The sequence below is a fragment of the Homo sapiens genome, chromosome 1 (assembly GCF_000001405.40).
Source record: "Homo sapiens chromosome 1, GRCh38.p14 Primary Assembly".
NCBI classification, from domain to species: domain Eukaryota; kingdom Metazoa; phylum Chordata; class Mammalia; order Primates; family Hominidae; genus Homo; species Homo sapiens.
The window spans coordinates 160,869,430-160,885,493 of record NC_000001.11 but is presented as its reverse complement, the minus strand read 5'-3'; the positions used below and the strand labels follow the sequence as shown (position 1 = coordinate 160,885,493).

Genomic DNA, 16,064 nt, shown 5'->3' with positions numbered 1-16,064 from the left:
GCTTAATTTAGAGAAAGTTTTTATTTTGCAAGAAAGAAAGGCACAAAAACCCAAAACCAACACCAACTCTTGTTAATCTCTTCGTCTACTTCCTACTTGACACAGGTCCATGAAACCCCCAGATCCAGGAACAACGCTAGCAGGTGATTCTTAGGATTGGTTTTTTCTTTAGAACCTGTTAATTCCACTGTATAAATAACCTCCCCGAGATAACCAGAAGCCTCCCCTGCACTGGGCATTGTGCCAGGGGAGGGTGAGGCTGGAAACCTTGGTTGGCCCCACTGGGCTTCCTCCATAAAGCTTTCTGCACCTCATTCCACATCAGGAGCGTTTTTGGAGAAAGCTGCACTCTGTTGAGCTCCAGGGCGCAGTGGAGGGAGGGAGTGAAGGAGCTCTCTGTACCCAAGGAAAGTGCAGCTGAGACTCAGACAAGGTCTGTGAGTTGGGGGAATCCTGTTTTCAGCTTAGGTCTGCTTTTGGTCTCAGAGATGTGTGAAGTTTAAACAAAAGGCAAGGGGTTTTGGAGTCTTTGTAAGACTGGACAGGGGTGGGGCAGGGATGTAGAGAAAAATGATGGCCAAGATGGTGACCTTCATCTTGCTTTCTTTAGATTACAATGAACCAACTCAGCTTCCTGCTGTTTCTCATAGCGACCACCAGAGGATGGAGTACAGGTGAGTCACGCTGCTAGGGACAGCAGTTCCTTCAGCTGGATGACTTCCGGGATCCTGGTCTCTCCCAGGACACAGAGCATGTCCTTGAGATGCACAGCGGCTGGCTTGCATGTAGACTGAGTGCCGATTTCTGGTCTCTGGCGGAATCTGGCCTGTGGCAGTGAAGGTATTGCTTGAGGCATGTCCTGGGTCCAGGCTCTGTGCTTTTGTGTGGCCCTGAGGGGGCTGTGGCAAGAACTGTGTCACCTTCCAGCCACTGCCCACTCCTGTGGCCTTGGCTGTGGGATTTCCATGGGAACTACATGGTCTGCTTTGTGCCTGGAGAATGTTCTCTCCACAGTTTTCCTCTCTACAACAAGAATAACAATGACATTTTAAAATTTATATTTTTCTTCACGTCTAAAAATTTTTTTTTTAAAGAAAAGGCTGTTTCGAAATATCTTCTTACTTCATCTTTGCAAAAGCACTGTTTATTAACTGTGTTTTAGGTATGAGGAAACTGAGGTCAGTCACCTCTGACCTCACAGCTTTCCCCTAGACTGTTCGAATAGTTTGCAGACTTTTTGGAGTAGAGATTAGTCTCACCACTCCCTACTTCACACCCCATGTTTCAGCCATATTAAGCAGCTTGTAGTTCTACAGCTGGACTACGCTGTATTTTTTTTTTTTTCTCTAGGCCTTTGGATATGCTGTTTTCCCTGCCTTGGATTGGCTTCCTACTGATAAATCATGTTTATTCTCTCAGAATAAGCTAAGATGTCACCTGGACTGGAAGGTCTTCTGTGACTAAGACATGAGACAACCCGTCTTGCCTTCTTCTCCCAGGCAACTGCCCCGCTTACTGTCTGGCGTTTCCATTCTCCACTGTTACCTCAGAGTCTTTCTTTTGTTCTCTTGAGTTTGCCTTTCTTCTACCATTTATTCTTGTCAATACAATTTTCTGTTGACTTGTTAGCAATTCCCTCTAGAGGCAAGCTCTTGCTGGGGAACTTTAATGTCTTTGATTACTCAGTGCTTAGGGCAGGACCCAGCACAAGGACAGGTCTTGTGGCGGGAGGCAGACTTTAAGCCTGTGCTGGCTGTCAGGTCGGATGGGCTGAGTGGATATGATGCCGATGGGCTGAGTGGATGTGACACTGATGGGCTGAGTGGATATGACACTGGCTGTCTCAGGCCTTACCACCCGGGCAGCGAGGTTCTGCTACAGTGGTGGAATGAGCGTGGGACTAGTGATAGGAGAGGGTAGGTTTTGTGTCAAACCGGGAATGAGAATAAACCCTGTGTATTCCCTAGATGAGGCTAATACTTACTTCAAGGAATGGACCTGTTCTTCGTCTCCATCTCTGCCCAGAAGCTGCAAGGAAATCAAAGACGAATGTCCTAGTGCATTTGGTGAGTGATGAAACATTCAAACAGAGCTCAGTCAGGGTATCAGGATTGTGTCTTCTGGGAGTCTTTTTGTCTTTTAGTTAAAAAATTATGGTAAAGTATATGTATATTATAATTTACATAAGATTTGCCATTTTAAGCAACATTAAGTGTGCAATTCAGTGGCATTAATTACCTTCAAGGTTGTGCAACCATCACAGCTATCCATATGCAGAACTTTTTCAGTGCCCCAAACAGAAACTCTGTACTTAATAACATGGAGGGGCCGGGTGCGGTGGCTCAGGCCTGTAATCCCAGCACTTTAGGAGGCTGAGAGGGGTGGATCAGTTGAGGCCAGGAGTTTGAAACCAGCTTGGCTAACATGGTGGGGCCCTGTCTCTACTAAAATACAAAAATCAATTGGGTGTGGAGTACATGTTTGTAATTCCAGCTACTTGGGAGGCTGAGGTGGGAGGATCGCTTGAACTCAGGAGGCAGAGGTTGCAGTGGGCCAAGATAGTGCCACTTCACTCCAGCCTGGGCAACAGAGTGAGACTCCATCTCAAAAACAAAAACAAAAACAAAACAAAACAAAAAATAACATGGAGTTATTAAGCAATAACTCTCTTCCCTCAGTCTCTGGTAGCTGCATTTTACTTTCTATCTCCATGAATTTGCCTAGTGTAGTTACCTCATGTAATTGGAGTCATATGGTATTTGTCCTTTGGTGTCTGGCTTATTTCACTTAGCACAGTGTTTTGAGGGTTTGTCCATGCTGTAGCATGGATATTTCATTCCCTTTTATCCACTGCAGATACATATATGCACACACACCATGTTTTGTTTATTCATTCACCTGTTGGTGAATATTTGAATTGTTTCTTCTATTTGGCTCTTGTGACTAATGCTGCAATGAACACTGGTGTAAAAGCATCAGCTTGAGGCCCTGTTTTCAATTCTTTTGGGGATAGACCTGCAGTGGAATTGCTGGGTCATACAATAATTCCATGTTTAACTTTATGAAAAATGTCACTGGGATTTTATACAATTCTATGTTCTGCCTCAGTTACAGGAGCATGATCTTCTGAACTCAGGGAGGCCCCAGTACCCCTGGGAGCACTTAGTGATGTGAGTCAGGACAGGAGCCTTTAGGCCATGTCTCTGGTTCCTAGGGCCTTTCTTGTCATGGGGCTGAAATGAACCCTCAGCTCTCAGACAGGGAGGCTCTGGGCTGGTTCTCTCTACAGATGGCCTGTATTTTCTCCGCACTGAGAATGGTGTTATCTACCAGACCTTCTGTGACATGACCTCTGGGGGTGGCGGCTGGACCCTGGTGGCCAGCGTGCACGAGAATGACATGCGTGGGAAGTGCACGGTGGGCGATCGCTGGTCCAGTCAGCAGGGCAGCAAAGCAGTCTACCCAGAGGGGGACGGCAACTGGGCCAACTACAACACCTTTGGATCTGCAGAGGCGGCCACGAGCGATGACTACAAGGTTGGTGCCACTTCTTACCCACTCGGGTGAGGGTGAGGAGTGGAGTGTGGCTGGCCACAAGCCTGCAGGAGGGATGGCTGGAAGGTAGGGGTGTGGGATGGGCTGGAGAAGAAGAGAGAAATACTTATATCTTTTTTTTTTTTTTTTTTTTTCTTGAGACGGAGTCTTACTCTGTTGCCCAGGTTGGAGTGCAGTGGTGTGATCTCGGCTCATAGCAACCACGGCCTCCTGGGTTCAAGTGATCCTCTGCCTCAAAAGTAGCTGGGACTACAAGCGCCCACTACCATACTCAGCGAATTTTTGTACTTTTAGTAGAGATGGGGTTTCACCATGTTGGCCAGGCTCGTCTCGAACTCCTGACCTCAAGTGACCTGCCCGCCTTGGTCTCCCAAAGTGCTGGGATTATAGGCATGAGCCACCACACCCAGCCAATTTACACTTTGAATCACAACTTCCTCCTAACAAGGCTGTTAGGGCCCTGGGTGTGGTGGGATCATCGGCTGGGAGTGGGGTGTCTGAGTATGGTTGGCCATCTGCTCATCTGGAGTCCAGAGCTCTCACAGTCCAGCTGAAGTTGCATGTGTGGACCTTCTGCCTCCTGGGACCTCCTGGCCCAGTCAGGCTCAGTGTCTGTTGCTTTCCAGAACCCTGGCTACTACGACATCCAGGCCAAGGACCTGGGCATCTGGCACGTGCCCAATAAGTCCCCCATGCAGCACTGGAGAAACAGCTCCCTGCTGAGGTACCGCACGGACACTGGCTTCCTCCAGACACTGGGACATAATCTGTTTGGCATCTACCAGGTACAGAAGGCTGCTGGCTGGGACTGGTTTTCATGGGTGTACAGAGAAGCAAGTGTTAGAGGTTGGGCAGGAGTCATTTTTTAATGGGTCTGTCTCCCATGTTCTTCTAACCCAGATTTGCTGATGGCTTCTGTTGCTTCTCTTAGGAATTCTAAGCCAGGCAAGAGAAGGGACCTATTGGAGAGGACAGCTGGGGCAGGAAGAGTGTGGATGGGTCAGGGAGAAGGAGAGAGAGATAATGAAGTGGTCCAGGCTGCCGCAGAAGCACAGCTCTCGCCTAACTGGCAGCAGTGTCATGGAAAGATTCTTATTTTGACTGGTTTTGAAGTAATCTCAGTTACTGAGAAAGCATTGTTTCTCCTCTATGAATGGCAGCATCCCAGGAGATGCTGGTAATGGCAAAGCTATTGTCTTTACTCCATGACTTTTTCTGTGTTCTTTGTAGAAATATCCAGTGAAATATGGAGAAGGAAAGTGTTGGACTGACAACGGCCCGGTGATCCCTGTGGTCTATGATTTTGGCGACGCCCAGAAAACAGCATCTTATTACTCACCCTATGGCCAGCGTGAGTCTTTAATGATCCTCTGAACTCCTGGTAGGAAAGGGAATACATTCAACTATGCTAGGTAACAGTTATGCATCGGACTGAAGCTTGGTTCTCTCCTGTAATGTTCCCTATATTGCCCCACTTGATTTGCATGGCTGCCTTTGAGATCTGAACTTTATTAACCTCATTTTAGGAAACTGAAGCACTGAGAGGTTTAGAAACTTGTGAAGATCACAAGGCATATGTGGAAGAATCAGCAACTGGGGTGAGGAAATTTGGCTCCAGACTTTTTTTTTTTTTGAGATGGAGTTTTGCTGTTGTTGCCCAGGCTGGAGTGCAATGGCGCAGTCTCAGCTCACTGCAACTTGTGCCTCCCAGGTTCAAATGATTCTCCTGTCTCAGCCTACCAAGTAGCTGGGATTACAGGTGCCCACCACCACGCCCAGCTGATTTTTGTATTTTTAGTAGAGATGTGATTTCACCATGTTGGCCAGGCTGGTCTCCAACTCCTGACCTTTGGCGATCCGCCCCCTTCGGCTCCCAAAGTGTTGGGATTACAGGTGTGAGCCACCACGCCCGGCCAGGCTCCAGACTCCAGACTCTTTACTCCTAACAACCCACTCTCAGCCCTGCAGGAGCTTGTTAGGACCAGGCCAGGTCCATGTGCACAGAACAACCAAAAAAATGGCGAGACTTTTTTTTCTATTGTGAGTTTATTTTGTGTGAAGCCAAAGTTGGTAGCATAGTACGCTCCGCAGAGGCTGAGCATATATTATAGAACTCAAAGCTGTTATTATTTACATTTTGGAGTTGAGATTTTAAAATAAAGGAGAAAAGAAAAATGTAAACAGGAACAGAGTGAATACATCTGTTAATTTCTGCAACTCAGCCCTTGGAGATGTTCAGTGGTGATCTTCCTGCAGAGTTGAATTTCTCTTCACAAGCCTCTGGCAGATGAGGAGCCCTCTCTGAGGACCAGCTCTTCATCTCTGGGGTTGGGAAAAGGTCCCTCTTAGCTAAGTTTGAGGCCAGGATGTAGCAGCCATTGGCCACAGGGGTGCTGGGCTCCACCAGTACAGCTGGAGTGTTGGGCTGTAGCCTGAGCTTTGGCATCGAGAGCCTCTGGGCTGGCCTAAGGAAAGCAATTTCTAGCATCTTCCTTGAATGCTGTTTTCTGCCTCTTGTTTTCAGGGGAATTCACTGCGGGATTTGTTCAGTTCAGGGTATTTAATAACGAGAGAGCAGCCAACGCCTTGTGTGCTGGAATGAGGGTCACCGGATGTAACACTGAGCACGTGAGTCTCTGTGGGGACTGCAGGGACCTGTGAGTAAGGTCGAGTTTGTCCGTGTGTGTTGGTATGTGTGAGTGTGTTGAGTGTGGTATGACTGGGGTGTGTGTGTACGTGTGTGGGAGTGTGACCTTCTCTTGCTCATTGCTGAGCTTCAGGGGCCAGGGCCATGGGAACTTTTGTCCAGGTATACATATCCTGTCACTTTGAAGACCAAAATCAAGGGGTGAGGCTTCAAAAGAACCATTACTGGGTGTTCAGCCTTTGTGAGAAAACACTCAATCGCTTGGAGCTGGGGTGAGGCTTGTGTGCTGAAACATTGTGTAGAAGTCTTTAGAGCTGAGATTCCTTGAGAAACACAGGTGTTGTTTTCCTTCATCTGAGGTTTATATTTCAGAGAAAACCTGGACCTCCCCAACCCTAGCCATGGTTTGCCTAGATACACACTGCACTGGGGAGTTGCTGGGACAGTCCTGGACATCACCTTCTAGAAACCTCACTCAGGCCATCCTTTTTGTGGTTGAAATGTTAAGGCTCAGGAATCCTGAATGGTGGGATTGACAAATTCCAAAGATTTTAAATAGAATACCAGTTGTAATTAGTCCATTCTTTCACTGCTATAAAGAAATACTGGCCAGGCATGGTGGCTCCCGCCTGTAATCCCAGTATTTTGCGAGGCAAGGCAGGTGGATCTCTTGAGTTCAGGAGTTTGAGACCAGCCTGGGAAAAATGGCAAAACTTGTCTTTACAAAAAATACAAAAATTAGCCGAGTGTGGTGGTGCATGCCTGTGGTCTCAGCTACTTGGGAGGCTGAGGTGGGAGGATCTGCTTAAGCCTGGGAGGTGGAGGTTGCAGTGAGCCAAGATCACACCACTGCACTCCAACCTGGGTGACAGAGTGAGACCCTGTCTCAATAAAAAAAAAAAAAAAGAAAGAAAAAGAAATATCTGAGACTGGGTAATTTATAAAGAAACGAGGTTTAATTGGCTCATGGTTCTGCAGGCTGTACCGTAAGTATAGCGGCTTCGGCTTCTGGGAAAGCCTCAGGAAACTTCCAATCATGGCAGAAGGCAAAAAAGGAGTGAGGTGTCTCCCATGGCAGGAGCAGGAGCAAAGGCAGGGGAGGCGTTACACACTTTTTTTTTTTGAGACAGAGTTTTGCTCTTGTTGCCCAGGCTGAAGTGCAGTGGCACGATCTAGGCTCGCCACAACTTCTGCCTCTCAGGTTTAAGCGATTATCCTGCCTCAGCCTCCCAAGTAGCTGGGTTTACAGGCATAAGCCACCACACTGGGCTAATTTTGTAGTTTTAGTAGAGATGGGGTTTCTCCATGTTGGTCAGGCTGGTCTTGAACTCCTGACCTCAAGTGATCTACCCGCCTCAGCTTCCCATAGTGCTAGGATTACAGGCATGAACCTCCATGCCTGGCTGGTGCTGCATACTTTTAAATGTCCAGATCTCATGAGAAGTCACTCACTATCATGAGGACGGCATCAAGGAGCTGGTGGTAAAATCATTCATGTGAAACCACCCCCATGATCCAATCACCTCCCACAAGGCCCCACCCCCAACACTGGGGATTACAATTCGACATGAGATTTTGTGGGGACCCAGGTCCAAACCATGTCACCAGTTGAATACAGAGGATGGGCAAGGAAGTATAGAATAACATGGTTCTCATTTGGGTGAGGGAGTGTCATTTATGAAGTCAGAGTGTCTGGATGATGAATAGGTTCTGGGTCAATGAGGGATATAATTAACTCTATTTTGGTCATTTGGAGCTTGAGGTTCCTGTGTAGAGATCCAAGCTGGACTTTGAGGTCTTCAGCACAAGAAGCATCTCAACAGGAGATGGAGATTTTGGGGCCATCAGTGAATTTTTAGTAATTGAGGCCACAGTGGTCATGCAGTTTATAAGGGAGAGGGAGATAGGTCCTCCACTAGGGAGCAGCACTTAGAGGATTTATGAAAGAAGAGAACAGGCAGGGGCTCTGAGCATGAATATTCAGAAAAGTTGAAAGGAAGTCAAGACAATAATGTCACTAAAGCTAAAGGAAGAGAGTTTTTTTTTTTTTCTTTTGAGACAGGGTCTTACTCTGTCACCCAGGCTGCAGTACAATGGCGTGATCTAAGCTCACCGCAACCTCCACCTTCCAGGTTCAAGCAATTCTCCTGCCTCAGCCTCCTGAGTAGTGGGACTACAGGTGCTTGCCACCATACCTGGCTAATTTTTGTATTTTTTGTAGAGATGTGGTTTCACCATGTTGGCCAGGCTGGTCTCGAACCCCTGGCCTCAAGTGATCCACCCTCTTCGGCCTCCCAGACTGCTGGGATTACAGGTGTGAGCCAAGGAAGAGAGGTTTTTATGGGAAGAATAGATCAACACTGTCAATGGAGAGTCTGATGAGGACCAAAGAAATCACTGGATTCAGCTGTTAAGATGGCATTGGCCTCACTGGCAGATCTCTCATTACTGCCTCTTCCTCTCTTTGTTTCCCAGCACTGCATTGGTGGAGGAGGATACTTTCCAGAGGCCAGTCCCCAGCAGTGTGGAGATTTTTCTGGTTTTGATTGGAGTGGATATGGAACTCATGTTGGTTACAGCAGCAGCCGTGAGATAACTGAGGCAGCTGTGCTTCTATTCTATCGTTGAGAGTTTTGTGGGAGGGAACCCAGACCTCTCCTCCCAACCATGAGATCCCAAGGATGGAGAACAACTTACCCAGTAGCTAGAATGTTAATGGCAGAAGAGAAAACAATAAATCATATTGACTCAAGGCTTGGTGTTTCTGTGAATTCCTTTCCTGTAGGGGTGAAGCACTATAGGAAATTTCGAAAGCATGTGTATTGCTTTGGCTGATTGTACTTCAACTGCGTGTGTGCTTGGACTGTTAGGACTCGGGAATCCTGATAGAGAAACATGCCATCTCTACTTCCCTTTCAGATAGCCCTTAAAATAGCCAGAGGCATACAGGGCAAGGGGAAAGGAAGCATTTTATCCAAACCCTTCCTAACTCACCCACATGGACTGATCAATTTGTATCCTCAACCTGAAGACCCGAAAGGAGAAAAGCGTCCATTTTTTGGGGGGTGCCCCAAAGAAGAAGGAGATATACCCAATATCTATATCTAGTATGTTCTAACCTTAGTGACTGGGCGTTCTCCTTAGGGAAGAATGGGCTGGCATGTTGCGATGATGGTGACTCTCCTTGTGCAGTGGCTTAACCATTCCTGGGCTCCCATCTGCAGGTGCTCATTCAGAAGGAGACATGTGGCCAAATCATCCCCTGTGGGTTATTGGTACAGATAGGATGGGGATGGCATCAGTTCTTACCCGTGACTAAATATTAGGCATAATATTGTGTTTCCTCTACAATGCAAATTGGATTATGACTAGCCCTTCCAATTCTTCGCCACTCTAAGTGTCAATTACTTCTCACTGGCTAGAAAATGAAGTTTAAAGTTCTTAGGCCTTAGAGGAATTAGAAGAGGAAGGGGAAGAAGGGAAAGAGGAAGGGGAAGAAGAAGGGAAAGAGGAAGGGGAAGAAGAAGGGAAAGAGGAAGGGGAAGAAGTTTGCTTAGAAAATGTTTGGGAGGGGTGGGGTGCAGTGACTCACGCCTATAATCCCAGTACTTTAGGAGGCCAAGGTGGGCAGATCATGAGGTCAGGAGATCAAGACCATCCTGGCCAACCTGGTGAAACCCCGTCTCTACTAAAAATACAAAAATTAGCTGTGCATGGGGGCGCATGCCTGTAATCCCAGCCACTCGGGAGGCTGAGGCAGGAGAATCGCTTGACCCTGGGATGCGAAGGTTGCAGTGAGCTGAGCTCGCACCACTGCACTCCAGCCTGGGTGACACTAAGACTCCGTCTCAAAAAAAAAATTGTCTGGGAGGGTTTTCTTTGTTGTTTAAACTAGATCTATTTGGACCTGGGTTAGAAATTGTTAGTATTCTCTCTAGAGCCTTTCTTTCTTTAGTTCTTTCTACCTTTTTAATAACTCATTTTCTGTCATCTGTTCTTTCCTGCCTTCTCTCTTACCCCTTGTCCCCATTCTCTATCCTGAAACACAGACGTCTCTGTCCCTCTTCACTCTCAGATGCCCTTCTTCCAACTAGAGGAGACAAACCTGAGTATGTTTTTATCTCTGGTTGGAGTTCCCCTGTATGTGAGTCACCTTTTGTGTGCCAGACACTGTTGGCTGGGAGTGCACAGACGGTGGTGGGAGAGAGAGGTGAACAGTTTTTCTCTTTTATAGATTCCTTTATGAATTAATTCCAACAATATTCATTGAGTGTGTACTAGTTCCTGGGCTAAGTGCTGGGGATACGGTGATAAAGAAGTGATAGAGAAGACAGATAAACCCAATTCTAAAGCTGCAGGTGGTGGAGCCCAGGGGCCCTTCAGGTGCAAGGTGATAAAGTCTCCCATGAGAGCTTCCTGGGGAGCTGTGGAAACACAGGAGAGCGATCCCCAATCCAGAAAGGAATGTTAGTGAAGACCTCTCAGAGAAGGTGGCTTTCCCTTAATTCTCCCTGCCACCTTGGCGTGACCACAGAGATCTCTGAGCTGGGAAAGTTTTCACCCGTCATTGTTTTCATTGTGCCCCACATCCAGAGAGTGAAGTTGTTAAAGGTCTAAATGAATCTGACCCTTCAAAAAATTTTCGTCTATCAGAATCTCAGTTTCCTTATCTGTAAATTACAGATAAGAGCAGTAAAGTCCTCACATGTGGTTTTCATAAAAATTAAATGAAATAACGTACAGCCTTTAAAGGAGTGCCTGGCTTATAGTTACTGCTTGATATATATTAGTTATTGTTATTATTTTTTGAGACAGGGTCTTGTTTTGTTGCCCAGGCTGGAGTGCAGTAGTGCGATCTCAGCTCACTGCAACCTCTGCCTCCCATGTTCAAGCGATTCTTGTGCCTCAGCCTTCCAAATAGTTGGGATTACAGGCATATGCCAGCACACCTGGCTCGTTTTTGTATTTTTAGTAGAGACTGGGTTTTGCCACGTTGGCCAGGTTGGTCTCGAGCTCCTGGCCTCAGGTGATCCACCCACCTCGGCCTCCCAAAGTGGTGGGATTACAGGCGTGAACTACCATGCCAGGCTTATGAACAATTTTACACCAACAAATTATATAACCTGGATAAAATGGACAAATTCCTAGGAACATAAAACCTATCAAGACTAAATCATGAAGAAATAGAAAATCTGAATAAACGTATACCTAATAAGGTGATTGAATCAGTAATAAAAAATCTCTTGATAAAGAACAGCTCTGGACCTGATGGTTCACTGGTGAATTCTACCAGTGAAGAAACATTTAAAGAAGAACTAACATCAATTCTTCTCAAACTTTTCCAAAAAACTGAGGAGAAGGCTAAACTCCCTAATTCTGTGAGTCCAGCTTTACCCTGATAACAGCCAGGTGAAGGCACTACAGGAAAAGAAAACCACAGATCAGTATCCCTTGTGAACATTGACGCAAAAACCTTTGACAAAATACTAGCAAACCAAATATATATACGTATATATATATATATGTATATATATACATATCACTATTTTTTTTTTTTTTTGTATTTTTAGTAGAGACAGGGTTTCACCATGTTGGCGAGGCTGGTCTTGAACTCCTGAGCTGAAGCAATCTGCCTGTCTTGGCCTCCCAAAGTGGTGGATTAAAGGCATGAGCCATCACACTCAGCACCCTGCCACATATTAAAATGATTTTACACCATGACCAAGTGGGATTTATTTCTGAAAAGCAAGGATGTTTCAATATATGAGACTTGATCAATGTAACACATCACATTAACAGAATAAAGGAAAATAGCTATATGATCATCTCATTGGATGCAGAAAAAGCATTTGACAGAAATCAGCACTCTTTCATGATAAAACACTCAACAAACTAGGAAGAGAAGAAAACAACTACAATGCAATAAAATAAAAGACATAGATCAAAAACCCACAGCAAACATCATACTTAATGGTGAAAGATTTTCTTTTATGTCAGGAACGAGGCAAAAATGGCCACTTTGGCTGCTTCTATTCGACATAGTACTGGAAGTTCTAGCCAGAGGAATAAGTCAAGAAAAACAAATGAAAGTCATCTGAATTGAAAAGAATAAGTAAAATTATCTCTGTTAATGGATGATATGATTTTATATGCAAAAAAACCCTAAAGATTCCACAGAATATTGTTAGAACTAATAAATAAATTCACCAATGTAGCAAAATACAGAGTCAACAAACAAAACCATATGCATTTCTATACAGCAACAATGAACAATATGAAAAGTAAAATTAAAAATTCCAGTTACAATAGCACCAAAAAGAATAACACACTTAGGAATTAACTTAGTCAAGGAAGTGAGACTCCTTGCAAAACATTTCTGAAAGACATTAAACGAGACTTAAATAAATGGAAAGACATCTCATGTTTATGGATTGAAAGGCTTAATATTGTTAAGATGTCAATACTACCCAAAGTGATTTATAGATTCAATGCAATATCTATCAAAATCCCAATGATATTTATTTGCAGAAATAGAAAAACCCATTTTAAAATTCATATGGAATCTCAAGAGACTCCAAATAGCCAAAACCACCATGAAAAAGAACTAAGCTTGAAGACTCAGATATCCAGATTTCAAGACTTGCTACAAAGTTACAGTACACAAAGCAGTGTGCTACTGGCATAAGATCAGACATACAAACTAATACAATAGAATAGAGAGCCCAGAAAGAAACCCTAGCATATATGGCCAAATGATATTTGACAAGGTTGCCAAGACCATTCAATGGGGAAAGGGCAATGTTTTCAAACAAATGATACTGAGAAGACTGAATATCCACATGTAAAAGAATAAAAGTTGAGGCTGGGCGTGGTGGCTCATGCCTGTAATCCCAGCAGTTTGGGAGGCCAAGGCGGGTGGATTATGAGATCAGGAGTTTGAGAGCAGCCTGACCAACATGGTGAAACCCTGTCTCTACTAAAAACACAAAAATTAGCCAGGTGTGGTGGCGCATGCCTGTAATCCCAGCTACTCAGGAGGCTGAGGCAGGAGAATCACTTGAACCCAGGAGGCAGAAGTTGCAGTGAGCCGAGACTGCGCCACTGCACTCCAGCCTGGGTGACAGAGTGAGACTCCATCTCAAAAAAAAAAAAAAAAAAATTAACTCCAAATAGACCCATGACTCAAATGTAAGACCTAAACTATGAAACTCTTAGATCAAAATAGGACAGAAGCATCACAGCACTGGATTTGGCAATAATTTCTTGACTATGACAACAAAGCATAGGCAACAAAAGAAAAAAATGAACAAATTGTGCTTTATGAAAGTTTAAAAATGTTGTGCACCTAAACACACTATCAACAAAGTAAAAACCCACAGATGGGAGAAAATATTTTCAAATCATGTATCTTATAAAGAATTAATATCCAGACTATGTAGATAACTCCCAAAATTCAACAACAAAATACCAAACAACCCAATTCAAAAATGGGCAAAGGACTTGAATAGACCTTTTTCCAAACAAGATATACAAATGCCTAATATGCATATGAAAAAACGCTTAGCATCCCTAATCATTAGAGAAATGCAAACCAAAATCCCAATGAGATACCACCTTACACCCATTAGGATGGCTACTATAAACAAAACAAAACAGAAAATGATAAATGTTAGTGAGGATGTGGAGAAATGGAAACTCTTATGCACTGACAGTGGGAATGTGTTTTAGTCTGTTCTCACATTGGTATAAAGAAATATCTAAAACTGGGTAATTTATAAGGAAAAGAGGTTTAATTGGCTCATGTTTCCACAGGCTTTACAGGAAGCATAGCGGCTTCTGCTCAGCTTCTGGGAGGCCTCAAAAAACTTACAATCATGGTGGAAAGCGAAGGAGCAGCAGGCACATCTTACATGGTGGGCATGGGGTGCGGAGGGGGAGGTGCCACACACTTTAAAACAACCAGATCTTGTGAGAACTCTATCATGAGAACAGCACCAAAGGGAGAAATTCATCCCCATGATCCAATCACCTCCCACCAGACCCCACATCCAACACTGGGGATTACAAATGGACATGAGATTTGGGCAGGGACACAGATCCAAACCATATCAGAATGTAAAATGGTATAGCATCTGTGGAAAACAGTATTAGGTTCCTCAAAAGATTAAACATAGGCTGGGCACAGTGCTTCACGTCTATGATCCCAGCACTTTTGGAGGCTGAGGTGGGCGGATCTCCTGAGGTCTGGAATTTGAGACCAGCCTGGCCAACATAGTGAAACCCCGTCTCTGCTAAAAATACGAAAATTAGCTGGGTGTGGTGGCACATGCCTGTAATTCCAGCTACTCAGGAGGCTGAGGCAGGAGAATCACTTGAACCCAGGAGGCGGAGTTTGCAGTGAGCTGAGATTGTGCCATTGCACTCCAGCCTAGGGGACAGAGCGAGACTCTGTCTCAAAAAAAAAAAAAAGATTAAACATAGAATTACCATATGATTCAGCAATTCCACTTCTGGGTGTATACCCAAAAGAATTGAAAGCAGGGTCTTGAAGAGATATTTGTTCACCCATGTTCATAGCAGCATTATTCACAATAGCTAAAATGCGGAAACAACTCAAGTGCCCATTGACAGATGAAGCAAAAAGTGGTATATATGTATACATATATATGTACATATATGTATACATACATATATATACAAATATATGTACACATATCTATATATAGATATAGTTATAGACAGGGATATTATTCAACCTTAAGAAGGAATACAATTCTGACTGAAGCTACAACATGGATGAATCTTGAGAGCATTATGATAAGTGAAATAAGCCAGTCAGAAAAAAACAAATATTGCATGATTTCACTTTATGAGTACCTATAGTCAAATTTATAGACAGAAAAATGGAATGATTGTTTCCTGGGGCTGTGGGGAAAGGGGTATGGGCCATTATTGTTTAATAAATAGAGTTTCAGTTTTACAAGATGAAGAGTTCTGCAGATGGATGATGGTGATGGTTGTACAAGAGTATGAATGCACTTAATACTTGCTCTTGACTGAGGTGGATGGAGAGAAAGATTTTTATAGTGTGCATGCATGTGTGTGTGTGTGTGTATTTTTTTTCTTTTTTTGAGACAGAATCTCACTCTGTTGCCCAGGCTGGCGTGCAGTGGCATGAGCACAGATCACTGAAGCATTGACCTCCCTGGCTCAAGAGATCCTTCTACCTCAGCCTCTCAGGTAGCTGAGACCACAGGCATGCCACCATACCTGGCTAACTGATTTTTTTTTTTGTAGAGTTGTGGTCTCACTACATTGCCCAGGCTTGTCTCGAACTCTTGGACTCAAGCAATCCACCTGATTCAGCCTCCCAAAGTGCTGGGATTACAGGGGTGAGCCTCCACACCCAGCCACGTGTATGTATTTGTGTGTGTCTTTATTGAAGATCATTTATTAATGAAAGCTTTCTTTACCATTTACCTGTTGAAGACACGGAGTCAGTTAGTTCTTTCATTGCTGCTTGCAAAACAGACCATCTGATTTTCCTTTGGGCCTCTCTTTCATAATATGTTACCAAAGGCAGCTGGCACACAGCGTTGCATTCTGTTTCCCTGATGTCTTCCCTTAGAGCTCAAGGGCACTAGGTATATAACACACTTCTTGAGTGGCCACAGGCAACACTCTTAACATTTTCACTTCTTACATAACATGGAGTGCCATCTTTCCAACCTTCAATATTAATTTCTTCATCATCAGTAGGCCTATTACCAAGCCAATGCTACGTGTTTTAGGTATTTACTGAAGCTGGAGAAAGGAGTGTGTTGACTGGTGTCTTGCTTCTCCTAAAGGCTTCAGCCTGACA

General features: G+C 44.5%; 1 protein-coding gene across 1 annotated transcript; it reads left to right on the top strand.

Moving 5' to 3' along the window:
• Positions 1-313: 313 nt before the first annotated feature.
• ITLN1 (intelectin 1) lies at positions 314-8,954 on the top strand. Its single transcript, NM_017625.3, has 8 exons — positions 314-433; positions 611-674; positions 1,968-2,066; positions 3,290-3,537; positions 4,182-4,340; positions 4,786-4,906; positions 6,080-6,183; positions 8,678-8,954. The coding sequence occupies exons 2-8, from the start codon at positions 617-619 to the stop codon at positions 8,828-8,830; spliced, it is 942 nt and encodes a 313-aa protein (NP_060095.2). The 5' UTR covers positions 314-433; positions 611-616; the 3' UTR covers positions 8,831-8,954.
• Positions 8,955-16,064: the final 7,110 nt, after the last annotated feature.